The 25,935-nt window shown below is 39.4% G+C and overlaps 1 protein-coding gene and 1 pseudogene across 29 annotated transcripts in view, besides 1 other annotated feature; one reads left to right on the forward strand and one right to left on the reverse strand.

Moving 5' to 3' along the window:
* SRPK2 (SRSF protein kinase 2) overlaps window positions 1–25,935 on the reverse strand; it is a 284,618-nt gene that overhangs the window by 183,071 nt on the left and 75,612 nt on the right. For 3 of the 29 annotated variants that reach the window (XM_047420774.1, NM_001278273.2, XM_006716098.4), the window contains exon 1: window positions 928–969. The exons of the other annotated variants lie outside the window; for them this stretch is intronic. The gene's annotated coding sequence lies outside the window, so the exon portion shown is untranslated. Of the gene's footprint in view, window positions 1–927; window positions 970–25,935 lie in introns of those variants that run through there. 29 annotated transcript variants of the gene reach the window in all.
* Window positions 365–504: an enhancer, noted in NCBI's record as "active region_26460". NCBI's record gives its function as "activates an Ori minimal core promoter by ATAC-STARR-seq in GM12878 lymphoblastoid cells {active_cell/tissue: GM12878}" and the evidence as "EXISTENCE:reporter gene assay evidence [ECO:0000049][PMID:35858748]".
* RWDD4P1 (RWD domain containing 4 pseudogene 1) lies at window positions 3,512–4,473 on the forward strand (annotated as a pseudogene).

Raw genomic sequence — 25,935 nt, forward strand, 5'->3', positions numbered from 1 at the left:
AGCTCACTGCAACCTCCACCTCCTGGGTTCAAGCAATTCTCCTGCCTCAGCCTCCCAAGTAGCTGGAATTACAGGCATGCGCCACTATGCCCAGCTAATTTTTGTGTTTTTAGTAGAGACGGGTTTTCACCATGTTGGCCAAGCTGGTCTCGAACTCCTGACCTCGTGATCTGCCCACCTCAGCCTCCCAAAATGCTGGGATGACAGGCGTGAGCCACCACGCCTGGCCTGTAATTTTTATATACAGTAATATTCATCTTTTTCATGTTCAGCTGGGTAAGTTTTGACACAGTTGTGTAACCACTACCACAACCAAAATATAGAAGAGTTCCAACACTCAAAAAATTCCCCATTGCCACACTACAACCAACTCCTCTCCCACCTCTACCTCTTGGCAACTACTGATGTGTTTCCCAGAGTCTGTATGCTTTTGAGTCTAGCTTCTTTCACTTAACATAATGCCTTTAAAGATGCATCCACTTGCTGCATGTATTAGTAGTAGTATATTTTTTAACTGATGAGTAGTATTCCATTGTTATGGATGTATCAGAGTTTGTTTATCCATTCACCAATTAGGGAAATTTGAAAAGCCCACATTTTTCTTAACTGTTAAAAAAGAAATGCTGCTACAAGCAGTTACATATAGGTTTTTTTTCTGAACCTAAGTTTCTGTTTCACTTAGGTAAATACCCAGGAGTAGGTCATATAGTGTCTGACTCTAAGAAACTGCTAAATTGTGAGATGACTGCTTGAGACCAGGAGTCTGAGGCCAGCCTGGGCAACACAGCAAGATGGTATCTCTTACAAAAAGGAAAAGCAAACAAAAGTATCAAATAAAAAGGCCCCATAGGATAGCATGGCTCAGATTATACTGCAACCCCCTGCCTAAAATAGTTCATCCCCATCCCTCCTCAGCTGATGCCTCACGTTAGCAGTAGGAGACAGCAGAGGCACAGGGCCCACTCCAACAGAGCCCACCTCCCGCTGTAAGGAGGGCTTCACGCAGCCCTGCATCACAATGCCAGCAAGAGAACCTGTGACAGCAGTCTTTCCAGGGAGACAATGTAGGCCAACGCCTCATACTCTGTTCAGCTCAGTTAGCACACAGTGAACCCAGTTATCCATCATCACCCAAACCCTCTCCTACATCCCACTTTCACCACCATGAATGCCCTCTACGTTCCACCAGCCCCAGAACACCCTCCCCCATCCATATGCACTGAAACGTTAAGATCTGCCATGTCTCCAGAAGGGCTGCTCCTTGCCCTAACAGGACTGGCTGCCCAGTGGGCACTCTTCCTCCTGTTGGAACTGAGAATGAGCCTCTGTTTCTCTACAGTCCTGTGTTCTGCATGGCCTGCATGGAGGTGGGGCCACACAGTCTCACCATCCCAATCTGAAGACTGGGAAGTTATCTTCCTAAACCTGCAAAGCTCTATCAAGCTTTAAAAGTTAAAATCTTTGCTACGTCAACCACTTTTGTTTTCATTTTTTATTATGAGTGGAGTCAGGTGGAAGAGCCTGATACTTCCAAGTAAAGGATCTACCTTAAGGCTTCTTTCGGATATCCTTTATCTTCTCATTTTTTAAGGTCTACCAAAAATAATCTGAACCTAAAAAGACACTAAAGCTAACACATATATTGCTAGCTAAGGAAAATTAGCAAAAGAAACATTAAGAAATTAAATATATTCATCTTTTAGTCTGTTGTACCACAGACACTGGAGAGATATAACGGTCCCATCACCTCACAAGAAGCATAACTCATTTTGACACAATCTTTAGAATGTAATGGGATGAGGCCTGGTGCCGTGGCTCACACCTGTAATCCCAGCACTTTGGGAGGCTATGGCAGGCAGACCATCTGAGGTCAGGAGTTCTAGACCAGCCTGGTTAACATGGTGAAATCCCATCTCTACCAAAAAATACAAAAATTAGCCAGGTGTGGTGGAGGGTGCCTGTAATCTCAGCTACCTGGGAGGCTGAGGCAGGAGAATCGCTTGAACCCAGGCGGCGTAAGTTGCAGTGAGCCGAGATCGCGCCACTGCACTCCAGCCTGGGTGACAGAGAGAGACTCCATCTCAAAAAAGAATACAAAACAAACAATACATAGATCTAAAATATTTCCAAAATAAAAATCATTCCTTCCAGTCACAAGCATATGAAGTGCCCATCAAAAATTAAATATAATAAATATTTAACAGAGAAATTCTTTATGCTTCAACTTAATTCAAATGTACAAATTAATTTTTAAAACACAGTATTAGCAATAATTGGCCGGGCATCACCATGTACAGATACAATACATGGCGTGCATCTGTAGGCCCCGCTACTCAGGAGGGTGAGACAGGAGAATTGCTTCAACTCGGGAGGCAGAGGCTACAGTGAGCCAAGATCACGCCACTGCACTCCAGACTGGGCAAGAGACAGCGAGACTCCATCTCAAAAAAAAAAAAAAAAAAAAAAAAGTATATATATACATATTTAGAACACTATGTGCACATAGAAAACTTGTGTGACTTGTATAGTTATACATCTGACATCATGGCTGGGATATACTAATATTTCAACACAAACACAAATGTGACTATAAAACAAAACTGATTTTCTGCCACGACTTATGGAAACAGAAGAATAGCCACAGGAGGAATGTATTGTAATATTTTCATTTGTACTGTAACCATTTTCAAGGCCAAAATACAACTAATGGAAATTAATGCACATCTAAGCTTCATGTCAGTATAAAATTAAAAATGACCTGAGTACAACCTACAGAATGGGAGAAAATTTTTGCAATCTACCCATCTGACAAAGGGCTAATATCCAGAATCTACAAAGAACTTAAACAAATATACAAGAAAAAAATCAAACAACCACATCAAAAAGTGGGCAACGGATATGAACAGACACTTCTCAAAAGAAGACATTTATGCAGCTAGCAGACACATGAAAAAATGCTCATCATCACTAGTCATCAAAAAAATGCAAATCAAAACCACAACGAGATACCATCTCACACCAGTTAGAATGGCGATCATTAAAATATCAAGAAACAACAGGTGCTGGAGAGGATGTGGAGAAAACAGGAACACTTTTACACTGTTGGTGGGACTGTAAACTAGTTCAACCGTCGTGGAAGACAGTGTGGCGATTCCTCAAGGATCTAGAACTAGAAATACCATTTGACCCAGCAATCCCATTACTGGGTATATACCCAAAGGATTATAAATCATGCCACTATAAAGACACATGCACATGTATGTTTATTGCGGCATTATTCACAATAGCAAAGACTGGGAACCAACCCAAATGTCCATCAATGATAGACTGGATTAAGAAAATGTGCCACTTGGCTGGGCGCAGTGGCTCACGCCTGTAATCCCAGCACTTTGGGAGGCCGAGGCAGGCGGATCATGAGGTCAGGAGATCAAGACCATCCTGGCTAACACGTGAAACCCCGTCTCTACTAAAAATACAAAAAAAAAAAAAAAAAGCCGCGGCTCCGGGTCCGAGCCCACAGCCCACCGCTGGCAGCTGGGCGCTGCCGAGGCCAGGGGCACGCACGATTGGCACCTGCCAGTGCCAAGACTGTGCCGCCCCCACAACCAAGGCGCCAAAGGGGGTCGCCGGGCCTCTGGGCCGCTGCCCTCGCTTTGTCTTCGTTGTTGCAAGCACCGTCCACTCAGGAGGCGCCCCGCAACCGGTGTGACGAGTGCCAACGAGGACCAGGAGATGGAACTAGAAGCATTACGCTCTATTTATGAAGGAGATGAAAGTTTCCGGGAATTAAGTTCAGTTTCTTTTCAATATAGGATAGGTGAAAATGGTGATCCCAAAGCCTTCTTAATAGAGATTTCCTGGACAGAAACATATCCCCAAACACCTCCAATTCTATCTATGAACGCTTTTTTTTTAACAACACCGTATCATCAGCTGTAAAGCAGAGTATATTAGCCAAGTTACAGGAAGCAGTAGAAGCTAATCTTGGAACCGCTATGACCTGTACATTGTTTGAATATGCCAAAGACAATAAGAGCAGTTCATGGAGAATCACAATCCCATTAATTCCACAACATCGATAAGCAATATCATCTCAATTGAAACTCCTAATACAGCCCCATCAAGTAAGAAAAAAGACAAAAAAGAATAACTTTCAAAAGCCCAGAAGCGTAAGCTGGCAGACAAAACAGATCACAAAGGAGAACTTCCTCGAGGCTGGAACTGGGTTGATGTTGTGAAGCATTTAAGCAAAACTGGCTCTAAGGATGATGAGTAGCACTTGGAATTTGAGACAAGGAAAGAGCATTCTTTAAAAAGTAAAACTGGGTTCAAAATCTTTCATTACCATTTTCTGGTATTGAGGTGGCTTTTTATAAAATAATTTTTGTATGTTTCTTACATTAAAAAGGTTGTAAGTTGAAAGTTCATGAAGAGATCCAGTTGTATTAAATTATTTTCACAAACTTGCCTTAATAAAAGGTGAAAATGTTACAGTTTAGTATACTTTATGAAGCCTCTTGAGCTTTGTAAATGGACAGGCATGTGGAATAAGAATCAGTGTTAATTTATATGATCTTATCCTGGTGGATGTGCTGTCTTTTAAAGGAGTATGAAGCCCTTTTCAAACTATCATCCTGGTGGAGCCAAGTACTCAGTGAACAGTTACTCCATAGTGCAATCCATATTAATAGGCTTCTTATCTTAAATAAAGTCTTCATCTCTTCTTTTGCTTAATTACTGAACCGTAAATTGCTTCAGAGAAATTTAAATGCTGGTATTTGAACTTTATACATGATACTTTTTCTAGTTTCTTTTAATTTTTGAAAGGTGAACTGCTTCCCTTTAATAAATTAATATCTATTTATATTTTTCTCTTGATTTGGGTCAAGATGTGTGATCATGAGTGCTTTGAGTGATAGGTGGAACAGGAGAATATAAAAACAAATCTGCTAAATACACTAGAAAGCATTTTAGTAAGAAATGCTGGCCCTTCCTTAAAACATTTCTCTTGCATATACCAGGATGGGAGTAAAAGATGCCTTAACATTTAATTTCTGTATTGTTGAAGACACTGATTTTAATGAAATCCTACTTTTCTGAAGAAAAAAAAAAAATTAGCCAGGCATGGTGGCGGGCGCCTGTAGTCCCAGCTACTTGGGAGGCTGAGGCAGGAGAATGGCATGAACCCAGGAGGCGGAGCTTGCAGCAAGCCTAGTTTGCGCCGCTGCACTCCAGCCTGGGCGACAGAACAAGACTCCGTCTCAAAAAAAAAGGTGGGGGGGAGAAAATGTGGCACATATACACCATGGAATACTATGCAGCCATAAAAAAGGATGAGTTCATGTCCCTTGTAGGGACATGGATGAAGCTGGAAACCACCATTCTGAGCAAACTATTGCAAGGACAGAAAACCAAACACCGCATGTTCTCACTCATAGGTGGGAATTGAACAATGAGAACACTTGGACACAGGGCGGGGAACATCACACACCAGGGCCTGTCGTGGGGTGGGAGCTGGGGGAGGGACAGCATTAGGAGAAACACCTAATGTAAATGATGAGTTAATGGGTGCAGCAAACCAACATGGCACATACATACATATGTAACAAACCTGCACGTTGTGCACATGTACCCTAGAACTTAAAGTATAATTAAAAAAAAAATGACCTGAGTAAAAAGTAATTAACATTTAATTAGGGGTGGCATTAAATCCACAAGATTTATGGAAATAAAAGGGAAGAGCTCTTAATTTTCATATTCTTATATGAAAATTAATTCATATTACTAAAAGAAAATTAAGGAGGTTATGGCTGATGTCCATCCTGGCAGCATTATACACTGAAAAAAAACCCAGAAAACTGGGATTTGAATCTTGACTCTTTAGTATCTCTGATCCCTTAAATCAAGTCTCATCTTTCGTAAACCTGTTTCTTCATCTATAAAATGATGTCAAAGTAATAACTCAATTCGTACAGTTTAATGGTTACATAGTAAAAAAACAAAACACACGAATATGTGGCAGAGGGTCAAACTATGTGAAAAGCTAGTGAAAACGTTTGGAAGAAATTTTCACCAAGTGATAAAGAGCAGTTACAACCTGTTCACTGTTTTGGATCTTTTGTTAACAGCTGAAAAAAACAGAAATATTTTGAGAAAATCGGTAGAGTTGACTTCAAAAGTTTTCATTACGACCTGAAAACATGAAATTTGCAATGGTATACTTTGCTGTACTACAAACCCAAGAAAACATCCATCTCAAAATCACAAGTGAGGACAATGTTAACTTGTTTATTTGATCTCAATGGCACTGCTAATGTAGCACAAGACCAAGAGTCAATTGGACCCATTGTTCAAGACTGCTGAATGTTAACAAGGAGTTAACTGTGGCTTAGAAACTAGTTTCATCATCCTATTTTGGCTCACAGTCCATGAGTCAAAAACAATAAACCAAAAGCTCTAACAACCCAGATTGCCTATCCAGGTTATTCACCAAACTCGGCACTTAATGACTTTTAGCTGGTTCCAAAAATTGATTCTAACATCAAAGGATAAAGATTTATGACCAATGAACATATTCAAATCCTAAAGAAGACCTTGGGGTACAATGGCAGCATTGTTGGGGTAAGTACACTACACACCATTTGGAAGCCAGATTCATTTCAATTTGAAACTAGTAACTGTATTTATAAATAAGTCTCAGACCATAAACCACAGAAAGTGCACAGCAGTGCCACCTTAAATCCTTTTTGGAACAAGGCAGGCTATGCATGTATGCATACTAAAGTAAACAGAGTTGTCTTGCCCAAAGACTTGCCCTGATTTTGTCTTAACTGTTCATTTCCCATTAGACAGTATCCCGAGCCTTACTTAGATGACTCAAAGAAAAACTGATAAACTGAAAAACAAAATATTTGGTCCACCTTTCCGTTTTAGTATCATGACTACAGGAATCTTGAAACAGATGATATATAGACAATCCACTGTGAAAACCGCAGGGCTGCCCTGGCCCCGGGCTACAATCACTGATTGATACATGCTGCCTACAGATGCCCTCAGACTAGGGACACCCTCTTCACTAAAAGAAAGACTAAAAGCCTTCTTAGCCTAAATAGAAGTCAAAAAGCATACAGCTTTAAAACCAAACTATTACACAGCTAAATATCCTGACCTAACAAAGATAAAAACTATCCTCTAGTCTAAACTTTAGAAGCATCTAGAACCACAGCAATAAATATTATTCAAAATACTTTAGGTCAAGTTCATATTTTCATAGGTTTCCATGTTTTCTGGGATTTCTAAAATCTTGGAGACAACAGAGGATGATTATTTAACAAAAATCCTGTTGCCAGCCAGGCGCTGTGGCTCATGCCTGTAATCCCAGCACTTTGGGAGACTGAGGCAGGCAGATCACCTGAAGTCAAGAGTTCAAGGCCAGCCTGACCCACATAGTGAAACCCTATCTCCACTAAAAACACAAAATTAGCCGGGTATTTTTACAGGTGGTGGGCACCTGTAATCCCAGCTACTGGGGAGGCTGAGGCAGGAGAATCTCTTGAACCCAAGAGGCAGAGGTTGCAGTGAGCCGAGACTGTGCCACACAGTCTCGCACAATAGAGCGAGACTCTGTCACAAAAAAAATTTTCTGCTGCCTACTAGTTTATTATAACAGTATACAAAAGACCAAGGAAATTGTAGAGAAATAACTTTATTTAAATGCATCTGACAGATAAATCTATGTTCGCTTCTTCATTCCTGTGTTACTTTAATTCTTCTGTGTAATTTTGGGGAGAGTCAGTGTTGAATTACCCAACAGGAAAAAAATGAAGCACACTGTTGGAGAGGAAAACACTCTTTCCCTACCCTCTTAGATTCAGTGGCTGGGGTCCCTGAATTTAACAGATAAAAGATTAACAGGAGGGGGAAAAAAAGCAGTTTACCTATGCATGCAATGTGCATACACAAAGGAGAACTCAGTGTTAACTCAAAAGGGTGATTAAAATTTGGGTTTACACACCATCTTAACAAAGGGTGATAAAGTACGGGGAAAAGGCTAGACTGAGGAAAACAAGTTCTGGACTTTGAGGGAGGTACAAATCATGGGAAGATAACTAGAAATGTATAATAAATAGGGGTTCTTTAGTACGGAACACTTTCAGAAATGTAAATGGATAGCCTGCTTTTAGACAGAAAGGTGGAGGGCAGGAAACTAAATGCCTTCAGCTTAAAACAACACCTACACTAAAAGTGGGATATTTTGGGGTGGCATGCTCTGGTCCCCTTCTACATGCTTAGAAAACCAACAAAAATGAGGTACCAAAAGAAGTAAGAGGATTTTTTTTTAAGGCATCTGATGTAGTTTTTGAAGCCATGAGTAACAATGAGAATTTTTGCTGGTATTCTATTAGTTTGCATTTCAGTATTGTCATTTTCCATTTTGCTAGGAAGAGAAAAGACACACCATAATCTTTTCAGTGCACTGGGCTTCTAAGAAACTTAATCAGAACCTGACGGATCATCTCTGAATACCATAGTTTCAGAATATTAACAAAAGTCATAATAACTGTGAATTATTTTTGCAAAGTACGTATCACTAGAACCAAGATGTTTAAGTAGAAATTTTGAAACCTAAGAGACCACATCACTGTCATCTTCTTGGTCAATACTTGAACCAGGCAAAAAAAAAACCAACACTTCCTTTGAAATCTCATGAAGGAAAGCAGTGAGGAGTCTTCTACCCTTGAAGCAGCAGGATGTACTCCACCTGAACAAAGAAAAAACAGTCATGAAGAAAAAACATGTTGGCTAACTGCTATCCTCTCGTTGGCAAGATGCCACCTTCAGTTGGAAAAGCATTTAACCGAAACACTCATTTACAAATATCTTTATCTGCAATCCATTTTAATGCTGTATACATCTCTAACTTAAGTGGAGAATAACTTTTAAAAAGAAAATGTCATAAATTTCTCAGAATTAAAAGTAAAACACTATTACAAGAACATTTTTGTAGAAGAAAACAATACAAAGGAGGAGACATGGCTAAATATGGGGGAAAAATGTTTAAACACAAACTTACAACTTGATTATAGATATGGAGACTCACACTTATGGAAAGCTGTCAAGTTATCCACAGAACTCTAGTTCTGAATAGAGAATACAATCCTTTTCCTCTTATTTTATAACTCTGGTGAAGAAAGAGACCGAATAGCAGGCAGGTGCAGCTAAACATGTCCTGGAAACACAAAGGCAGCTCAAAAGGAAGATTTAATTTAAGGGTCAGATTTTTTAACATACAAGAACTAATGAACTACCTTGAAGGGAGACTTAATTATGACTTTTCCCAATACTGGGTGGGAGGGGAGGTAATCAAAGTAATTAATTTTTAGTGCTATTTTGGTACTCCTACTACTGAAAAATTTAGAAGTACAAATGCCATTCCATCTGCTGTGGTGGATACAAAGAGGCTTTTCTTCAAGCAAGAAAGCTTTATTATTAAAAAAGAAGAAGAAAAATTCTATGACGTTTTTAAAAGGATAAACATACGATAACCCAAAAAGAAGTATAGAGAACCAATGTGTAATAAGTAAGTGTTTTGCTCTAGAACTTAGTCTGTTAAGCTGGTGAACAGAATCACTGACCAGCAGGAGAGAAAAGCCGGCTTGCACCCTCACAGCCCTTGCTGGCAGTGCCATCCATTTGTCATCTGACATGTGCTCTCTCTTATTTTTTCCAAACATTATTAAACTCTCACCTTTAAAAACACTTCTGGAGAAAAATTAACAAAGATATACCTCTACAAAATCCTGACTACAATGCCCCACAGCTGTTAAAAAATATTAGTAAATATGACTTCCTACAGAATCCAGGTAAGTTTATGTTAAAAGTGTATAAGTGGTAAGACTGTGGGTGGGGTTTTTTCCCCCTTATTTCCACATTTTTGAATTTCCTAAGTTTAACTTTAAGTATATATTTTATAATCAGAAATAACATACGCTTTATCTTTTATAATCATCATAGTAACTTAACAGTGAAGTGGGATATACAATGGTGATGAACAGTATGAGCTTTGGTACATTACTTGGACTCAAAAGATAGCTCCTGAAATTCAAATTACTTTCTATCTCTAATTCTGGATTCCATCATGTATCTCCTAAGATTGTGGTGAGGTTAACACAAAATAACATATGCGAAAGTATTTTTGCAAAGTGCTTGGCAAAATGGGAGAACTTAGTAATATTAACTGATAGCTTTACTACTATAGTTATGGGTTCGTCACCCAAATATACCCCAAAATTAGCAGTTTAGTGTTAGAGTTTTTGCTGCTCTACCTGGAGGTCCTAACAGTTTACATTGTTTTCATGGAAAAGTTTGCACTAAGGGGAATTTCAAAAACATGCTGGAAACAAACTCTGACCTTATTTTGCCAACAACCAACTGTAAAACAGACTGAGTTGGCACCTGAATATTTCTTCTGCTCTCCCTTCTCTTATGCTACCTCCCAAGCATTGAAAAGATTATGTTCTCTGAGCACTCTAGAAAACCCATTCTTGAGCAGGCTGGATGTGTTTATGTGCAAAAATGTTCAGGCAGTTGTTATTTATAAAAATTGGAAAGCCCTGTATATTAGAACTCTTATTTAGGGCAACCAACAGAGGGAGGGGATTTCCTTAAAGAATGATGGGCATGTACTCATTTTCATATAATTGTATGGACTTTAATATAACCTTCATTCTCATGACTACCAAGAAACTATAATCCAAAATTCTTATGGTAGTACTACTTTTCCAATTGGCAAGACCACTTCTGCAGTTCCTAAAGCACCCGACACCTAAAGCTTTAATGTATCACAAGGTGGAAAGTGGTTTCTGCTTATTCAACTAAAGATTCTTTTCCTACAGAGAGCTATGAGACTATTTTACCATTTTGTCTAATTCAATCTACATAGTAGCTTATTAAGAGGATATTGTCAGCCACAGTATCACAGTTTCATAATTAACATAAGTACTTAGATTACTTAAAACTCCACGAAAACTAAACAGGATTTCTCTCTCTGTAATCTTTCATCCTGGTTGGAGCCGTCATCATTTCTGGCCCCTACTAGGTCTCCTACCCCTCATACTTTCCTAATCCTCAACCCACACCACTGCAGAATCCTGCTTAGGGCCCTTCAGTGCTGCTTCATTTCCTATGGCCCCAGTCCTTTGCTTCGATGTGCTTGTGATCACTCCCCTATAAAAATACAGTGGGAGTTATGGACCATAATGTCTCCAAAAAAAGTGCACACAAACTTTGCATACACTCACAAGAATACTATTTACTTAATGCTCTTAAAATTCCAAACATAAGCAACAAAACTCAATCTTTAATTTCAAAAAGGAATTAAAAACTTCTTCAGGCAAGTCTATAAATATTTGCTGAAGGTTACAAGAAAAAAAAAAAAGCTCATTTTACCTAAAAGAAAAAAAATACATTAAAAGTACAGACAATATGTCCATTTTTCTTTAAGGAATCTACAAACTTCAGAATGATAAACTTTCCCAGTCACTAAACATTTCATTTTATGGGAGCCTTCATCATTAAAGTATCCTAGGATAGTTATTCAGCTAAAGGCCTTGAAAATTCAATTCATCAGCATTTTGTGTATATTTTAGCATATACATGTGTATCTACACATACACATGAGTATCTGCATTAAGGCTCTATCCTTAATTAGCCATTCAGAAAGCCAGAACTGCAAAAACATGCCAGAAACCAGAACCCCATCTTTTACAAAAACACCAATCTGTGGCAAACCACCAAAAATACCTAGTGAACAACTATCATGAAAGCATGCTGACCCAGAGTGGCCAAATAGTCACATTTTTTTTCAGACTATGGAAACCATAGAGACTTTCATGTAAAATATCTCCAATTTTAAAGCACTGTCAACCACATGATCACATCTACAGAAGTGATCCAGCCCACATCCACCAGTTTGCCTCCTGTGACATTATAGATCTTACTTATCCATTCTGCAGACAGATACTGGTGCCAACCCTGGGCCACACACTCTGTTACACAAGCATAAACAAGAAGTCTCAGTTTATGTCCCTGAGGGGCTCATAAGCCAGTAGAGGAGAAAAAAATCACACAGACATAATGCCATAAGCACTGTGGTCTGCACAATGACAGAGGTAGGCAAAGGAACTCCTCACGCATGGGGGAGAAGGAGTCAGGGAAATCCTCCCTCTGGGGGTGAGATCTGATATGAGTCCTAGTAGGTCTAAGCCAAACAGAAAGGAAAACACAGAGGCGCCAGGCTGCAGCAGAGAAAACATGGAACACAAAGGTGTAAGGCTAGGGAGATGAGCCTGGGAGGAATACTGCTGAGTCTAAGACCCCATGAGGTACTGGAAAGGGGAACAGCTGAACCAACTGAAGTTCAGGGAACAGGGAGAGACTGAAGACAAACATAGGTAGCAGATAAAACCATAATAATGGATCACACATCAGTGCACAGAACGCAGCAAGGCTAGTAAATGCATTCAGAATTGTAATATTTTAGTAAAATGTTCTCTTTACTAAAGAAATATTAAATGTAAAAAATATGAAAAAATAGGCTGGGCGTGGTGGCTCACCTGAGCTCAGGAGTTCAAGACCAGCCTGGGCAACATGGCAAAACTCCATGTCTACCAAAAATATAAAACTTTAGCAGGGCATGGTGGCACACTCCTGTAGTTCCAGCTACTCGAGAGACTAAGGAGAGAGGATTGTTTGAGCCTAGGAGGCAGAGGTTGTAGAAGCCGAGATCGCGCCACTGCACTCCAGCCCGGGTTAACATAGTGAGACCTTGTCTCAAAATAAATAAATAAATAAATAAATAAAATGAAAGTCACATACAAAGAAGAAAATTTTGGATCACCCATAATCCTACACTACTGCTATATATTTATTTTCCATCTAGAACTCTCCAATGACATTCTTTTCCCCAATCTTTATTCTACTTATTTTTCCTTTGATCCTAGTTTTTGGCATATCTATTATAAGTCTACTCAAACTTTTTGTGGAATGAAATGGAGCATTAAAAAACTAAGTTATGTCTCAATTTTAAAAGCCAAATCCACCCTTCCACAAATACACAATATTAACGTCAATTGCTTCAGACTTTTTACACCCTTTCCATCAGACAACCCACAATCTAGGAGGGGCTCGGTTGTGCACATAGTACAACCGTCCTTAACCGCTTAGTTGACTAAAAACTGTAATAAAAGTAAAGAGCTGTTTTGGGCATCAAAGGACATTACCAAAAAAGTGAAAAGGCAACCTACAGAATGAAAAAAAATATCTGCACATCATATATCTGATAAGGGTCAAGAGTATGTAAAGAACTCTTACAACCCACCAACAAAAAAATAAATAACCCAATTAAATAATAAGCAAATAATTTCTTTCTTATTTTTTTTTTGAGACGGAGTTTCACTCGTCTCCCAGGCTGGAGTACAATGGCGCGATCTGGACTTACTGCAACTTCCACCTCCTGGGTTTAAGCAATTCTCCTGCCTCAGCCTTCTGAGTAACTGGGACTAGTGGCACCTGCCACCACGCCTAGCTAACTTTTTGTATTTTTAGTAGAGACAGGTTTCACCATGTTGGCTGGGCTGATCTTGAACTCCTGACCTCAGGTGATCTGCCTGCCTAGGCCTCCCAAAGTGCTGGGATTACAGGCCTGAGCCACTCCACCTGGCCAACAAGCAAAGGATTTCAAGTCATTTCTCTAAAGATATAAAAATGGCCAAAAACACATGAAAAGATGCTTAACATCAGTCATTAGGAGAATGCAAATAAAAACCATGAAATACCACCTCACACCCATCAGGACATCTACAAACAGAAATACAGACAATAAGTGTAGGCAAGGATGTAGAAAACTGGAACCCTTGTACGTTGCTGGTGATTATGTAAAATAGCTCAGATGGTCATCATGTAAAATAGTTCTGACACTGTGAAAAAGTGTGGTGGTTCCTCAAAAACTAAAGCACAAAAATTAATCTATGACCCAGCAATTATATTCCTAGGTTTATATTCAAAAGAAAGAAAACAAGAACTCAAATCTTTGTGCAGGAATGTTGGTATAGTTCTATTCATAACTAAAAGGAAGAAACAATCCAAATGCCATCAATGGGTGAGTAAACAAATTGTGGTACATATATACAATGTAATATTATTCAGTCATAAAAGCAAGTGAACTTTGACAAATGCTACAACATGGATGGACACTGAGGACAAAAATAAATAAAAATTAAAAATAAAATGTACATGAACAAATAATTTCAAGATGAAGTACTGATATATGCTACAAAGTAGATGAAACTTGGCTGGGTGCAGTGGCTCACGCCTGTAATCCCAGAACTTTGGGAGGCCAAGGTGGGGGGATCACAAGGTCAGGAGTTCGAGACCAGCCTGGACAATATAGTGAAACTACGTCTCTACTAAAAATACAAAAATTAGCCAGGCATGGTGGTGCACGCCTGTAGTCCCAGCTACTTGGGAGGCTGAGACTGGAGAATCGTTTGAACCCAGGAGGCGGAGCTTGCGGTGAGCCGAGATCATGCCACTGCACTCTAACCTAAGCAACAGAGTGAGACTCCGTCAAAAAAAAAAAAAAAAACAAGCGGGGGTAGATGAACCTTGAAAACATTATACTATGTAAACAAAGTCAGACACAAATGGTCATTAAATATGTTAAATTTCCAGAATAGGTAAATTTAATCTCAGCCCTGCACCTCAGATGCAATTTTAATGGAGCGCCTGCTGGCTGCAGATAAAATCGTATGTATCAACAAATATAATAAAACCCAAACATTCCTGAATCCATAAGTCACTTAATTCTTTTCATCTTTTTGGAAGCCAGTAAATCAACTATTTTCAATGTGCTAAGCAAAAGGAAAGAATCAAGCATGCATCCTGACTTTCCCTCACAAACTCAACCTGAAGTATACAAACAGTTGATATGGGAATATTTATCTTTTCTGTAGAAATGAGGTCTCACTATGTTCCCCACTCTAGGCTCAAATTCCTGGCCTCAAGTGATCCTCCCACCTTGGCCTCCCCCAAGTGCTGGGATGACAGGCATGAGATACCACACCAGGCAAGAAAGTTTCTCTTTACAAAATATTCCAGAAATGAATAAATAAATAAGGAATAATAAAATTACACTATCACCATTTGAAACTACTAATGAATTAATGAATGTAGGCAATGGTCAGTGGGCAATAACATCACAAAAGACAAGACAATCAGGCATTATATGCATGTAAGGGGAAAAAAAAGTTAGGACTTACTTTTGTCAAAAGGTAATGATTTTTTTTTTTTTAAATTACCAGGTGCAGTGGCTCAAGCCTGTAATCCCAGCACTTTGGAAGGCCAACATGGGCGGATTGCCTGAGCTCAGGAATTTGAGGCCAGCCAGCGTAACATGGTAAAACCCCATCTCTACCAAAATACAAAAAAATTAGCAGGGTGTGGTGATGCGCACCTGTAATCCCAGCTACTCGGGCAGCTGAGGCAGGAGAATCGCTTGAACCCGGAAGGCAGAGGTTGCAGTGAGCCAAGATCACACCACTGCACTCCCGCCTGGGCAACAGAGTGAGACTCCATCTCAAAAAAAAAAAAAAAAAAATTGGCCAGGCACAGTGGCTCACACCTGTAATCCCAGCACTTTGGGAGGCCGAGGTGGGTGGAATGCCTGAGCTCAGGAGTTTGAAACCAGCCTGGGTAACACAGTGAAACCCCATCTCTACTAAAATACAAAAAAATTAGCCAGGTGTGGCGTCGTGGACCTGTAATCCCAGCTACTTGGGAGGCTGAGGGAGGAGAATCCCTTGAACCAGGGAGGCGGAGGTTGCAGTCAGCAAAGATTGCACCACTGCACTCCAGCCTGGACAACAGAGCGAGACTCTGTCTCAAAAAAAAGCAAGAGACATCATGAACTGTTGGAGGGGCAGCAAGGTACATTGTCAGTGGGTGTATATATCTTGAACTCCTTTTCTTATTTAAAAAGAAAAAGAAAAAACATTCAAATAGAAAAACAAGCAAAGTAAAAGAACTGGCAGTATACAAATGAAAAAACAACTAATTAATATAAAAGGGCAAAGTCGCACCTCATTTATATCCAAAAAAATGTAAATTAAAATGACATCTATTTGTTTTAACTGCATTATCCAGGGCTCACAAAAATTCAATAACATGTATTATGAACATATGAACTGGCAAAACCAGTTGGGCGTGGTGGTTCACACACTTTGGGAGGCGAGGCTGGCCGGTAATTTGAGGCCAGGAGCTAGAGACCAGCCTGGCCAACATGGTGAAACCCCGTCTCTACTAAAAATATGAAAAATTAACCGGGGGTCATAGCACATGCCTGTAATCCAAGCTACTTGGGAGGTTGAGATATGAAAATCACTTGAACCCAGGAGGCAGAGGTTACACTGAGCTGAGATCGCACCACTGCACTCCAGCCTGGACGACAGAGTAAGACCCTGTCTTGAAAAATAAACTGGCAAATCCTTCCCAAAGATTACCTGGGCAACATGTTTCAAAACACATTTTTTATTTTTTCAAGACAGAGTCTTGCTCTGTCACCCAGGCTGGAGTGCAGTGGCAGAATCTCAGCTCACTGCAACCTCTGCCTCCCAGGTTCAAGCAATTCTGCCTCAGCCTCCTGAGTAGCTGGGACTACAGGTGTGCACCATCACGCCCGGCCAATTTTTGTATTTTTGGTAGAGACAGGGTTTCACCATGTTGGCCAGGCTGGTCTCAAACTCCTGACCTCAGGCGATCTGCCCGCCTTAGCCTCCCAAAGTGCTGGGATTGCAGGCGTTAGCCACCATGCCCGGCCCAAAACATATTTTGTAAATGCCGGCTGACATAGTAATTGGAAATCTAGAAGTTAATGTTCTAGAAAATGAATGCTCATAGGTGTATAGCACATTACATATAACAAAAGAAAAACCTGTAAACATAAATGTCGAATAATGAGAAATTCATTAAGTAAATTGCTCAAATGTAGTGAAATCTCATTAATCATTCTTACAAAGTATATGTAGGAGAACAGGAAATATGCTTAGAATATATTCTTAAGCATTTAAAAACTCACAATAAAATGGTATGGTGGGTATCTCAATTTTTCTAATAAAGAAACAATTTATGAGCTGGGTGCAGTGGCTCCTGCCTGGAATCCCAGCACTCTGGGAGGCTGAGGCAGGAAGATCACTTGAGCACAGGAGTTCGAGACCAGCCTGCACACCATAGGGGATCCCACCTCTATTTTTAAAAAATAGAAAACTTATAAAGGAGCCTAGAATGATTCACACCAAAATATTATCAAAGCCCTAGCCACTGAAAGTCAAGTATTTTTTCCATTTTATACTCTTCTGGAAATTTTTATTTTACTGCAAAAGACCTGAATTAATCTAACAACTGGGAAAATAAAATATCACACACATGCCACTAGCTAAACTGACTATAAGAATTTTAATAATACTAACTCTATTAAAAACTAGTTTGAGATGCTGGGCAATTCATTTAAGCTCTCTGGACCTGTTTCTTAACAGAAAAAAATCAGAAGCTGAACTAGATAAGTGGTTTTCAAACTGTGAAATCATACATGTAAAGTGCTTAATACAAGACCTGGCACAGAGTGAACACTAATGCACACTAACGCTGTGTATTACTACTAACCAAGGACTTGCTGCCAGGCAAACATGAGAATTCTGGGCCCATGACTCTCATTTCAACCTTTCAACCACTTGGCTTTTATGCTTCAAATATTGGACTCTGGATACAATTTCAATTAAAGAAAAGGTTCCACTGTTTTAAAACAACTTGACTAGATAATCCCTAAAGTCACTTATAACATAATATCAAGCTAAATATTACACACGTGTGTTCTCATTCCTTTGGCAAGTCCAGATATACCCCCAACGAACAAATATTCATGGTGAACAAACAATAAAAATCTGGATAAGTTGTATTTGACATGATTCTAATATAATGCATAATAAATTTTTGTTAATTCTGAGATTCTATGATGGTTTTCCTCCTAACCCTCTTTCAAAGTATAGGTATTGGTCATTAAAAATTTTCTGTAGTTACTACCTGTTTAGTATTATGAAACTCCCAGCCTTTTTATAGAAAGCAAAAAGGTGTACACTAAACGAAAAGACATCTTTAGGTAATTTTTTTTTTTTTTTTTTTGAGACTGAGTTTCGCTCTTGTCACCCAGCCTGGAGTGCAATGGCGCGATCTCGGCTCACTGCAACCTCCGCCTCCTGGGTTCAAGTGATTCTCCTGCCTCAGCCTCCCAAGTAGCTGGGATTACGGGCACCCGCCATGATGCCCAGATAATTTTTGTATTTTTAGTAGAGACTCAGCCTCCCAAAATGCTGGGATTACAGGCGAGAGCCACCGTGCCTGGCCATCTTGAGGTAATCTTAAAACTGTGCCTTTTAACTTGAAGAAAATACCTCTCAAATTACTGTGCATTAAGGCCTAGGAAATAGCATTAACTTCGGTAGTATATTCACCACTCAATCAAGACACTCTCAAGGCCGCTTATAAAGCCTGGTATCTACTCACTTACACTACTTTACCTCCAAGCTAAGTAAGCACTTCAACAGCAAACTAGCACTAACAATTCTAAAAACCAGGGAGCCCACCAGATAAACTACATTCCTGACTTGTAACTCTGACAATATTTTTTCCATGACTTTAATTTTACAAATTAGATCAAAGATAAACAGTTTATCTGCTGTTTCCATGACCATCTTTCTAATGAGGAATTCCTACTGTTCTAATTAGAAAAGGTTAATGATAAGGTTAAAGATAAGAAACTAATGCAAGGACACAAGAGATACAAGGATAGGACAAAGTTACTCTGACCTTTGGATTAGCCTCTTCTCACTCCAGGATCAGTTACATCCATGTGGAGGCAAGCATGGCCTAGGGAAGACTAGTTCCCGCCCACTGGCCATACTTACTAGGTTCTATGACCTTAGGCAAGCTATTCTAACCCTCAAGACCTGTTTATCTCATTTGCAAAAAGGGGACAACAATATCTAGTGTACATGACAGTTATGAGGCTTAAGTGAGACTGAATAGGAATGTCATAAACATCTGTTCCCTCTCCCACTCCTTTATACCTGAAAATCAGACTCTCATTTGATTCTCTTTTTTCCTGAGGGGAAGAAGAGCAGCCAAAGCAACTCCCAGTGTTAATGTTTATACCTTCCAGCAGTTCTCAAAGTGTGGTTCACAAACCTTCAGAAGTCTCCAAGATCAAACCTATTTCCATAATGATTCAAGACATTATTTGCCTCTTTCTGTGTCAACATTTGCACTGACGACATAAAAAGAATGGTGGATTAAGCTGCTGGCATCTTAGCACAAATCAATGTGGTGGCCCCAAGCTGTACTAGCAGTCCTTGCATTTAACTTTCAGTTAAAAAGTTGCCAGGTTCATGTAAGGATGTTCTTGATGAAGCAATGAAAAAATTAATTTCATTAAATCTCAATGTTGAGTTGACAGCGTTTTCATATTCTATGTGCTAAAATGGGAAGTATTCCTGCTACCAACCAAAGTAAAATGCATGTCTCCAGGAAAAACACCTGTGCAATCATTTTATTTGCTTTTTCCAGCAAGGCTTATTAACAGACAAGCCTTGGTTATTCAAATTTGGGAACCTGACAGACATTTTTCTCAAAAGCGTATGAAATGAGCTTGTTGCTTTAAAGAAAATATACAAGAACACAGGATGGGGTTGAATATTTTCTTCATATATTTCAACAAAAATAACATATCACAACAGACTGAAGGCAGACACATATATGATAATCTGTCTTCAATTAAGCCAGACATTAAAGAAATTTTCAAAAATGTCCAACAATGTCATTCTTCTCATTAGTTTTAAAAAGTACCCCTTTTTGTTGCTGTTGTTGTTGAGACAGGATCTCATTGTCATCCAGGCTGGAGTGCAGTCACTGTAGCCTCAACCTCCCAGATTCAGGTGATCCTCCCACCTCAGCCTCACAAGTAGCTGGGACTATAGGTGTGCACCACCACTCCTGGCTAATTTTTGTATTTTTTTAGTAGAGATGGGGTTTCACCATGTTGCCCAGGCTGCTCTCGAACTCCTAAACTCAAGCAATCCACCCGACTCAGCCTCAGCCTCATAAAGTGCTGGGATTACGGGCATGAGCCACCATGCCGAGCCAAAAGCATACATTCTTATTTTAAAATACGCTATTCATTTTTGTGGTTTTGTTTTTTGATACAGAGTCTCGCTCTGTCACCCAGGCTTGAATGCAGTGGTGTGATCTCAGCTCACTGCAACCGCCGCCTCCTGGGTACAAGCGATTCTCCTACCTCAGTCTCCAAAGTAGCTGGGATTACAGGCGCACGCCAGGTCGCCCAGCTAATTTTTGTATTTTTAGTAGAGGCAGGGTTTCAGCATGTTGGCCAGGCTGGTCTCGAACTCCTGACCTCAGGTGATCCGCCCACCTCAGCCTCCCAAAGTGCTGGGATGACAGGCGTGAGCCACTGCACCCAGCCTAAAAATATGCTATTTGTTAACATACAGTAAGTGTATTGACAACTACACGTTTTTAATTTCTGACAAAGCAAGTACCAATTGATATAAACTGCATTAAAAGGCTCTTTGGGCTCCTAAATAATTTTTTAGAGTCTGTCCTAAGAGCAAAATGTTTAAGAATCAGTGTTTATACCATTACCAAATTCCTTAATACAGGCTATTTGGGTAAACAGAAATGTCACTCAGTACTCATTTTATGTTCTTTCCGTCACACACTTAAGAGCAAATAACTTCACTGTCAATATTCTAGCTTAATCAACCTTTTTTGAAACACGCTTCTCACCATCCCCTTTGAGAATATGAGTAAGGTACCAATTCTCCAGAAAACTCTTGCACACTGCAGAATTCATGCAAGTTCTGAGTCCAAGGACTCTGTCCTTTGGTCTATTCCACTAGACACTGGTATAAAATCCTGGTAATAGCAGCGAGGTATCAGTATTTTACATATCCAGTTTTTAACCACTGTATTCCAAAGAATAGAGAGTCACAAATCAAATGATGACAAGCCGACCTATAAAACATAATTTACATGAATGAGTAAAATTCATGTTTTAAAACAAAACCCAAGCAATATTTTCAAGTAAAACAAGAATCACATCTCAGCTAAAATAAAAACAAATCCAAAAGGGTGAAAATTAAATCTGTTGCATCTTTTAAAACTGCTTAATTCACTCAATATTTCAAAATTAATTTGGAAATCACAGCTAAGAAAAACATATGTTCACAGATCTAATTTCTGTGAAAATGTAACACACTATTTTTAAATTCTACACGTTAATCAAGGAATCACAGTTTTTCATCACTGCAAACGTCCTTTTCAATATGGCCTGAGTTATAATCAAAATGGAATAATCTACTACCATAGGTTCGTTTCTAAGAATAGAAGAGTTTAAGTATACAGCCCTCCATTTATGGTTTTGTGAATTTTTTTTAACATTATCAAGGCTAAAAATTACCTTCCTCTTTGTTCCTTCTACATTCTTGAAAGCTTACTTAAGAAACATACTGGTGATTAACAATTTTTAGTTTTTATTTTCAACATCCACTCTTAAATTTAATGCACTTGCGGCGGGGGGGGGGGGGGCGGTGGATGGCAGGGGGAGAATATAAGCCCCTTTAAACACTTTTTTTCTAGTTACTTTTCCGGTTAAAGGAAACTAAATATGGCCTGAGAAGGACTCCGTACTTCAATATTTAAGTCCTTGTGGAGGATCCATAAGCTAACAGGTAGACAAGATTGAAAAACGTAACTATGGGTATGCGCCTGTAAATACAGCTGAGTCCTGGCAAATTCCAGCAGCCGTACTTTAACCATTCATACACTGCTGAGTGTTCAAACTGTGTTCAGCTAAGGCAAATGCTGACCTGTAACCAACCTGACTGTTTCTGTACCTCACTTCCGAGTTCTGGACATCACTTCCCCCCCTTTTTTTTTTTTTTTGTCTATAAATCTTCTTCCACCACATAGCTGCACTGCAGTCTCTGAATCTCCCGTGATTCTTGGGGCTGCCCGACTCGCGAATTGTTCACTGCTCAATTAAACTCCTTTAAATTTAATTCAGCTGAAGTTTTTCTGTTAACATTCCAAATAATAACATTCCAAATAATAAAATGGTCTTTCCACCAATCCACTTTATTAAATCTTCACACAGTTACATTTTCTCTTCAGGTGCATTGTCTACAGGTTGATTTTGCTATATATTTAAGGCAAATAATAAAGCAACATCTATACTTTTAAAAAATCAGTGACACATACACACATTCTGTTTCTCTCACAATCACACAAACACCCACGCATATCCCTAACAAGGTACAAGAATAAACCTTGGAAGATTCATATTTTGCTCAGCACCTCTCACCTTAATTCCTCTAATACAAAAATTTTACCAGTTTAATCATTTGGAAGAGGAAAAGAGGAACTACATCTTCAAAATGGACACAATTTATGTGAAACAAAATATGGAGAAAACTTATCTATAAAATTTCTTCAGTGTTTTTCAGTTTAAAAACACATCAATAATTACCTTGAGAATAAGTTAAAGTACACATTTTCAGAAACAGCAACCAGTAAGCTCATTTCCACAGTACTCAAAACCAAGAGGCAAACTAAATACATCTTGTAAGGCGACCCATAAAAATAAAAATAAAATCAGTAATAATTTAGCCATTTAGTTTCAAAGTTATAGTTATAAAGCTAATTTTGCATTCAAGTGACAAAACCCTATCTACCATCAAAAACCAAACTGTGGCCAAAGACCTTCATATACAGCTTTTCCTTTTTTTAACCCATTTATGCCGAAGGTTGCAAACTTTTTTTGTGAAAAATCAGACCTTGGCAATGACCTGGAGCAGGATATAAATAACTCCCACAAGCTTAGTGTTCCAATAATGGAACACTAGGCACAACTGGGTTAATGAGACAAGGTCTTGCTCTGTTGCCCAGGCTGGAATGGCGGTGTGATCATAGCTCACTGTTGCCCTAAACTTCCAGGCCCATGCAATCCCTCTGCCTCAGCCTCCTGAGTAGGTAGGACTACAGGCAGGTACTACCACACTCAGCTAGTTTTTAAAATTTTTTTGAAGAGACAAGGTCTTGCTATGTTGTACAGGCTCATCTCAAACTCCTGACCCCAAGTGATCTTCCCACCTCAGCCTCCCAAAGCGCTGGGATTGCAGATGTGAGTCACTGCACCTGGCCCATATACAGTTCTTAAAAGTGAATTCCAGATAAACAGATATACACATGCACAGCAATAACAGTCTGCACATGAAGACCACTCAATGCGGAAAGAACAGACTATTCAACAAATGGTGCTAAGACAACTGGGTATCCACATGCAGAAAAATGAGGCTGGACCCCTTCCTCCTCGTACCTTATACAAAAATAAACTTAAAATCGACAAACAACCTACATAAGAGCTGAAATCATAAAACTCTTAGAAGATAACATACAGGTAAATCTTCATGACCTTGGGTATGACAACAGATTCTTAGATATAACACCAAAAAAGCACATACAACAAAAGAAAAAACTGTAAAATGAACTTCAAAATTAAAAACTTTTCTGCATCAAATGACATTATCAGGAAAATGAAAAGACAACCTGCAGAATGGAAGAAAATATTAACAAATCTGATAGGGATCTAGTACCTGGAATATATACAACAACAAAAATAAACTACTTGATTATAAAATGAGCGAAAGATTTTAATAGAATCTCTCAAATAAAATATACAAAAGGTCAACAAGAATATGAAAAGATGCTCAACATCATTCATAAGGAGAATGCAAATAAAAACGAGGCACAACTTCACACCCACAAGGATGGCTAATGATAAAAAGTTAAAAACAACAACAACAACTAACAAGTACTGGAAAATATGTGGAGAAATTGAAATCCTTGTACACTGCTGGTGGGAATATAAAATGGTATCTTTTCTATGAAAACTGGAGATTTCTCAAAAAGTTAAACATAGAATTACCATACAACTCAGCAATTCCACTCATAGGTAGAAACCCAAAAGAAGTGAAAACTAGTACTTCAAATAATATGTACACCCATGATCACAGCAGCATTATCCACAATAGCCAAAAAGTGAAAACAACCCAAATGTCTACCAACAAATGAATGGATGAACAAATCCTGGTGTATAGATACAATGAAATACTATGTAGCCATAAAAAGGAATGGAATGTTGGGCCAGGCACAGTGGCTCACAGCTGTAATCCCAGGACTCTGGGAGGCCGAGGCGGACAGATCACTTGAGGTCAGGAGTTGGAGACCCGCCTGGCCAACATGTTGTGGAATCCCACCTCTACTAAAAATCCAAAAATTAGCCGGGCATAGGGGCATGTGCCTGGGGTCCTAGTGACTCAGGAGGCTGAAGCAGGAGAATCGTTTGAAGCCAAGAGGTGGAGGCTGCAGTGCACCGAGATCGTGACACGGCACTTCAGCCTGGGCGACAGAGTGAGACTTGAATGTTGATCCATGCTGCAATATGGATGAACCTCAGAAACGTCATGCAAAGTGAAAGAAGCCAGACACAAAAGGTCATGTGTTATATAATTGCATTTACATGAAATATCTAGAATAGGTAAATCAACACAGACAAAAATGCATATTGGCTCCCAGGAGTTGGGGGAGGGGGAAATAGGGAGCAGCTGCTTAATGGGTAGAGTTTCTTACTGGGGTGACAAAACATCTTGGAACTAGACAGAAGTGGTGGCTGCACAGCATTGCAAATGTATTAAATGCCACTGAACTGTTCACTTGTAAAATGGTGAATTTCATATTATGTGAATATAACCTCAATTAAAAAAAAAAAAACAGTTTGCACAGATGTCTTATTAGCTAGTCTATACAATCTCCACTTCGGCCAAGGAATGCTCTCCACAGCTCCATGGTCCCCACTAAAACTCTAAAGCCTCCCTGGCTCACAGCCTGGGTGCAGCTGGAGACAAAACACAGGATCAAAAATGTCCAGCCAGACACGGTGGCTCATGCTTGTAATCCCAGTACTTTGGGAGGCCCAGGTGGGTGGATCACTTAAGGCCAGGAGTTGGAGACCAGCCTGGCCAACATGGTGAAATCCTGTCTCTACTAAAAATACAAAAGTCAGCTGGGCATGGTGGCGCATGCCTGTAATCCCAGCTACTCGGGTGGCTGAGGCATGTGAACTCAGGAGGTGGAGGCTACAATGAGCCAAGATGGCGCCACCACACTCCAGCCTGGGCGACAGAGTGAGACTCCATCCAAAAAGAAAAAAAAAGTCCTACAAAAAGAAACAGTAAGAATATACATTTACATAAATATTGAAATTTTATGCTAGAGACAAAAATGCTAGAGAAAAGTATACACTAAAACTTCCTTAACAAAATTCAAAAACAAATGAAGGTAAAGCCTTCTGCAAACCCAAGCAGTGGCAAATATTCAAGTCTGCATTACCTTCACCAATGTTAGAAAATAGCAGGCAACATATGACTTCCTCCTAAATTTCAAATTTCCAACTACAAAGGAGAACCACATAGAATCTTTCTAAAAACACCTACCCATATTCCGTGTTTGAGACACTGTAGGCAGTCTATTACTTTTGCAAGGGCTGACTCTTAATGCAAATAAAATTATAATACTGGCACTGTTAAGAATGTTAAAAACAAAAAAGTCTTTCTTCTCAGCTACTTGCTACATACTTTACTCAGCACCAAAGTGTACTAGATGCTACATGCTAACACAAAACATAAAGGAATAGTGTTTCTTGCCTTTTAGAGTGAATATTCTAAGAAGAACAAAGTGGAAATAACACAGTAATTT

Source organism: Homo sapiens, chromosome 7, assembly GCF_000001405.40.
Source record: "Homo sapiens chromosome 7, GRCh38.p14 Primary Assembly".
Taxonomy (NCBI): Eukaryota; Metazoa; Chordata; class Mammalia; order Primates; family Hominidae; genus Homo; species Homo sapiens.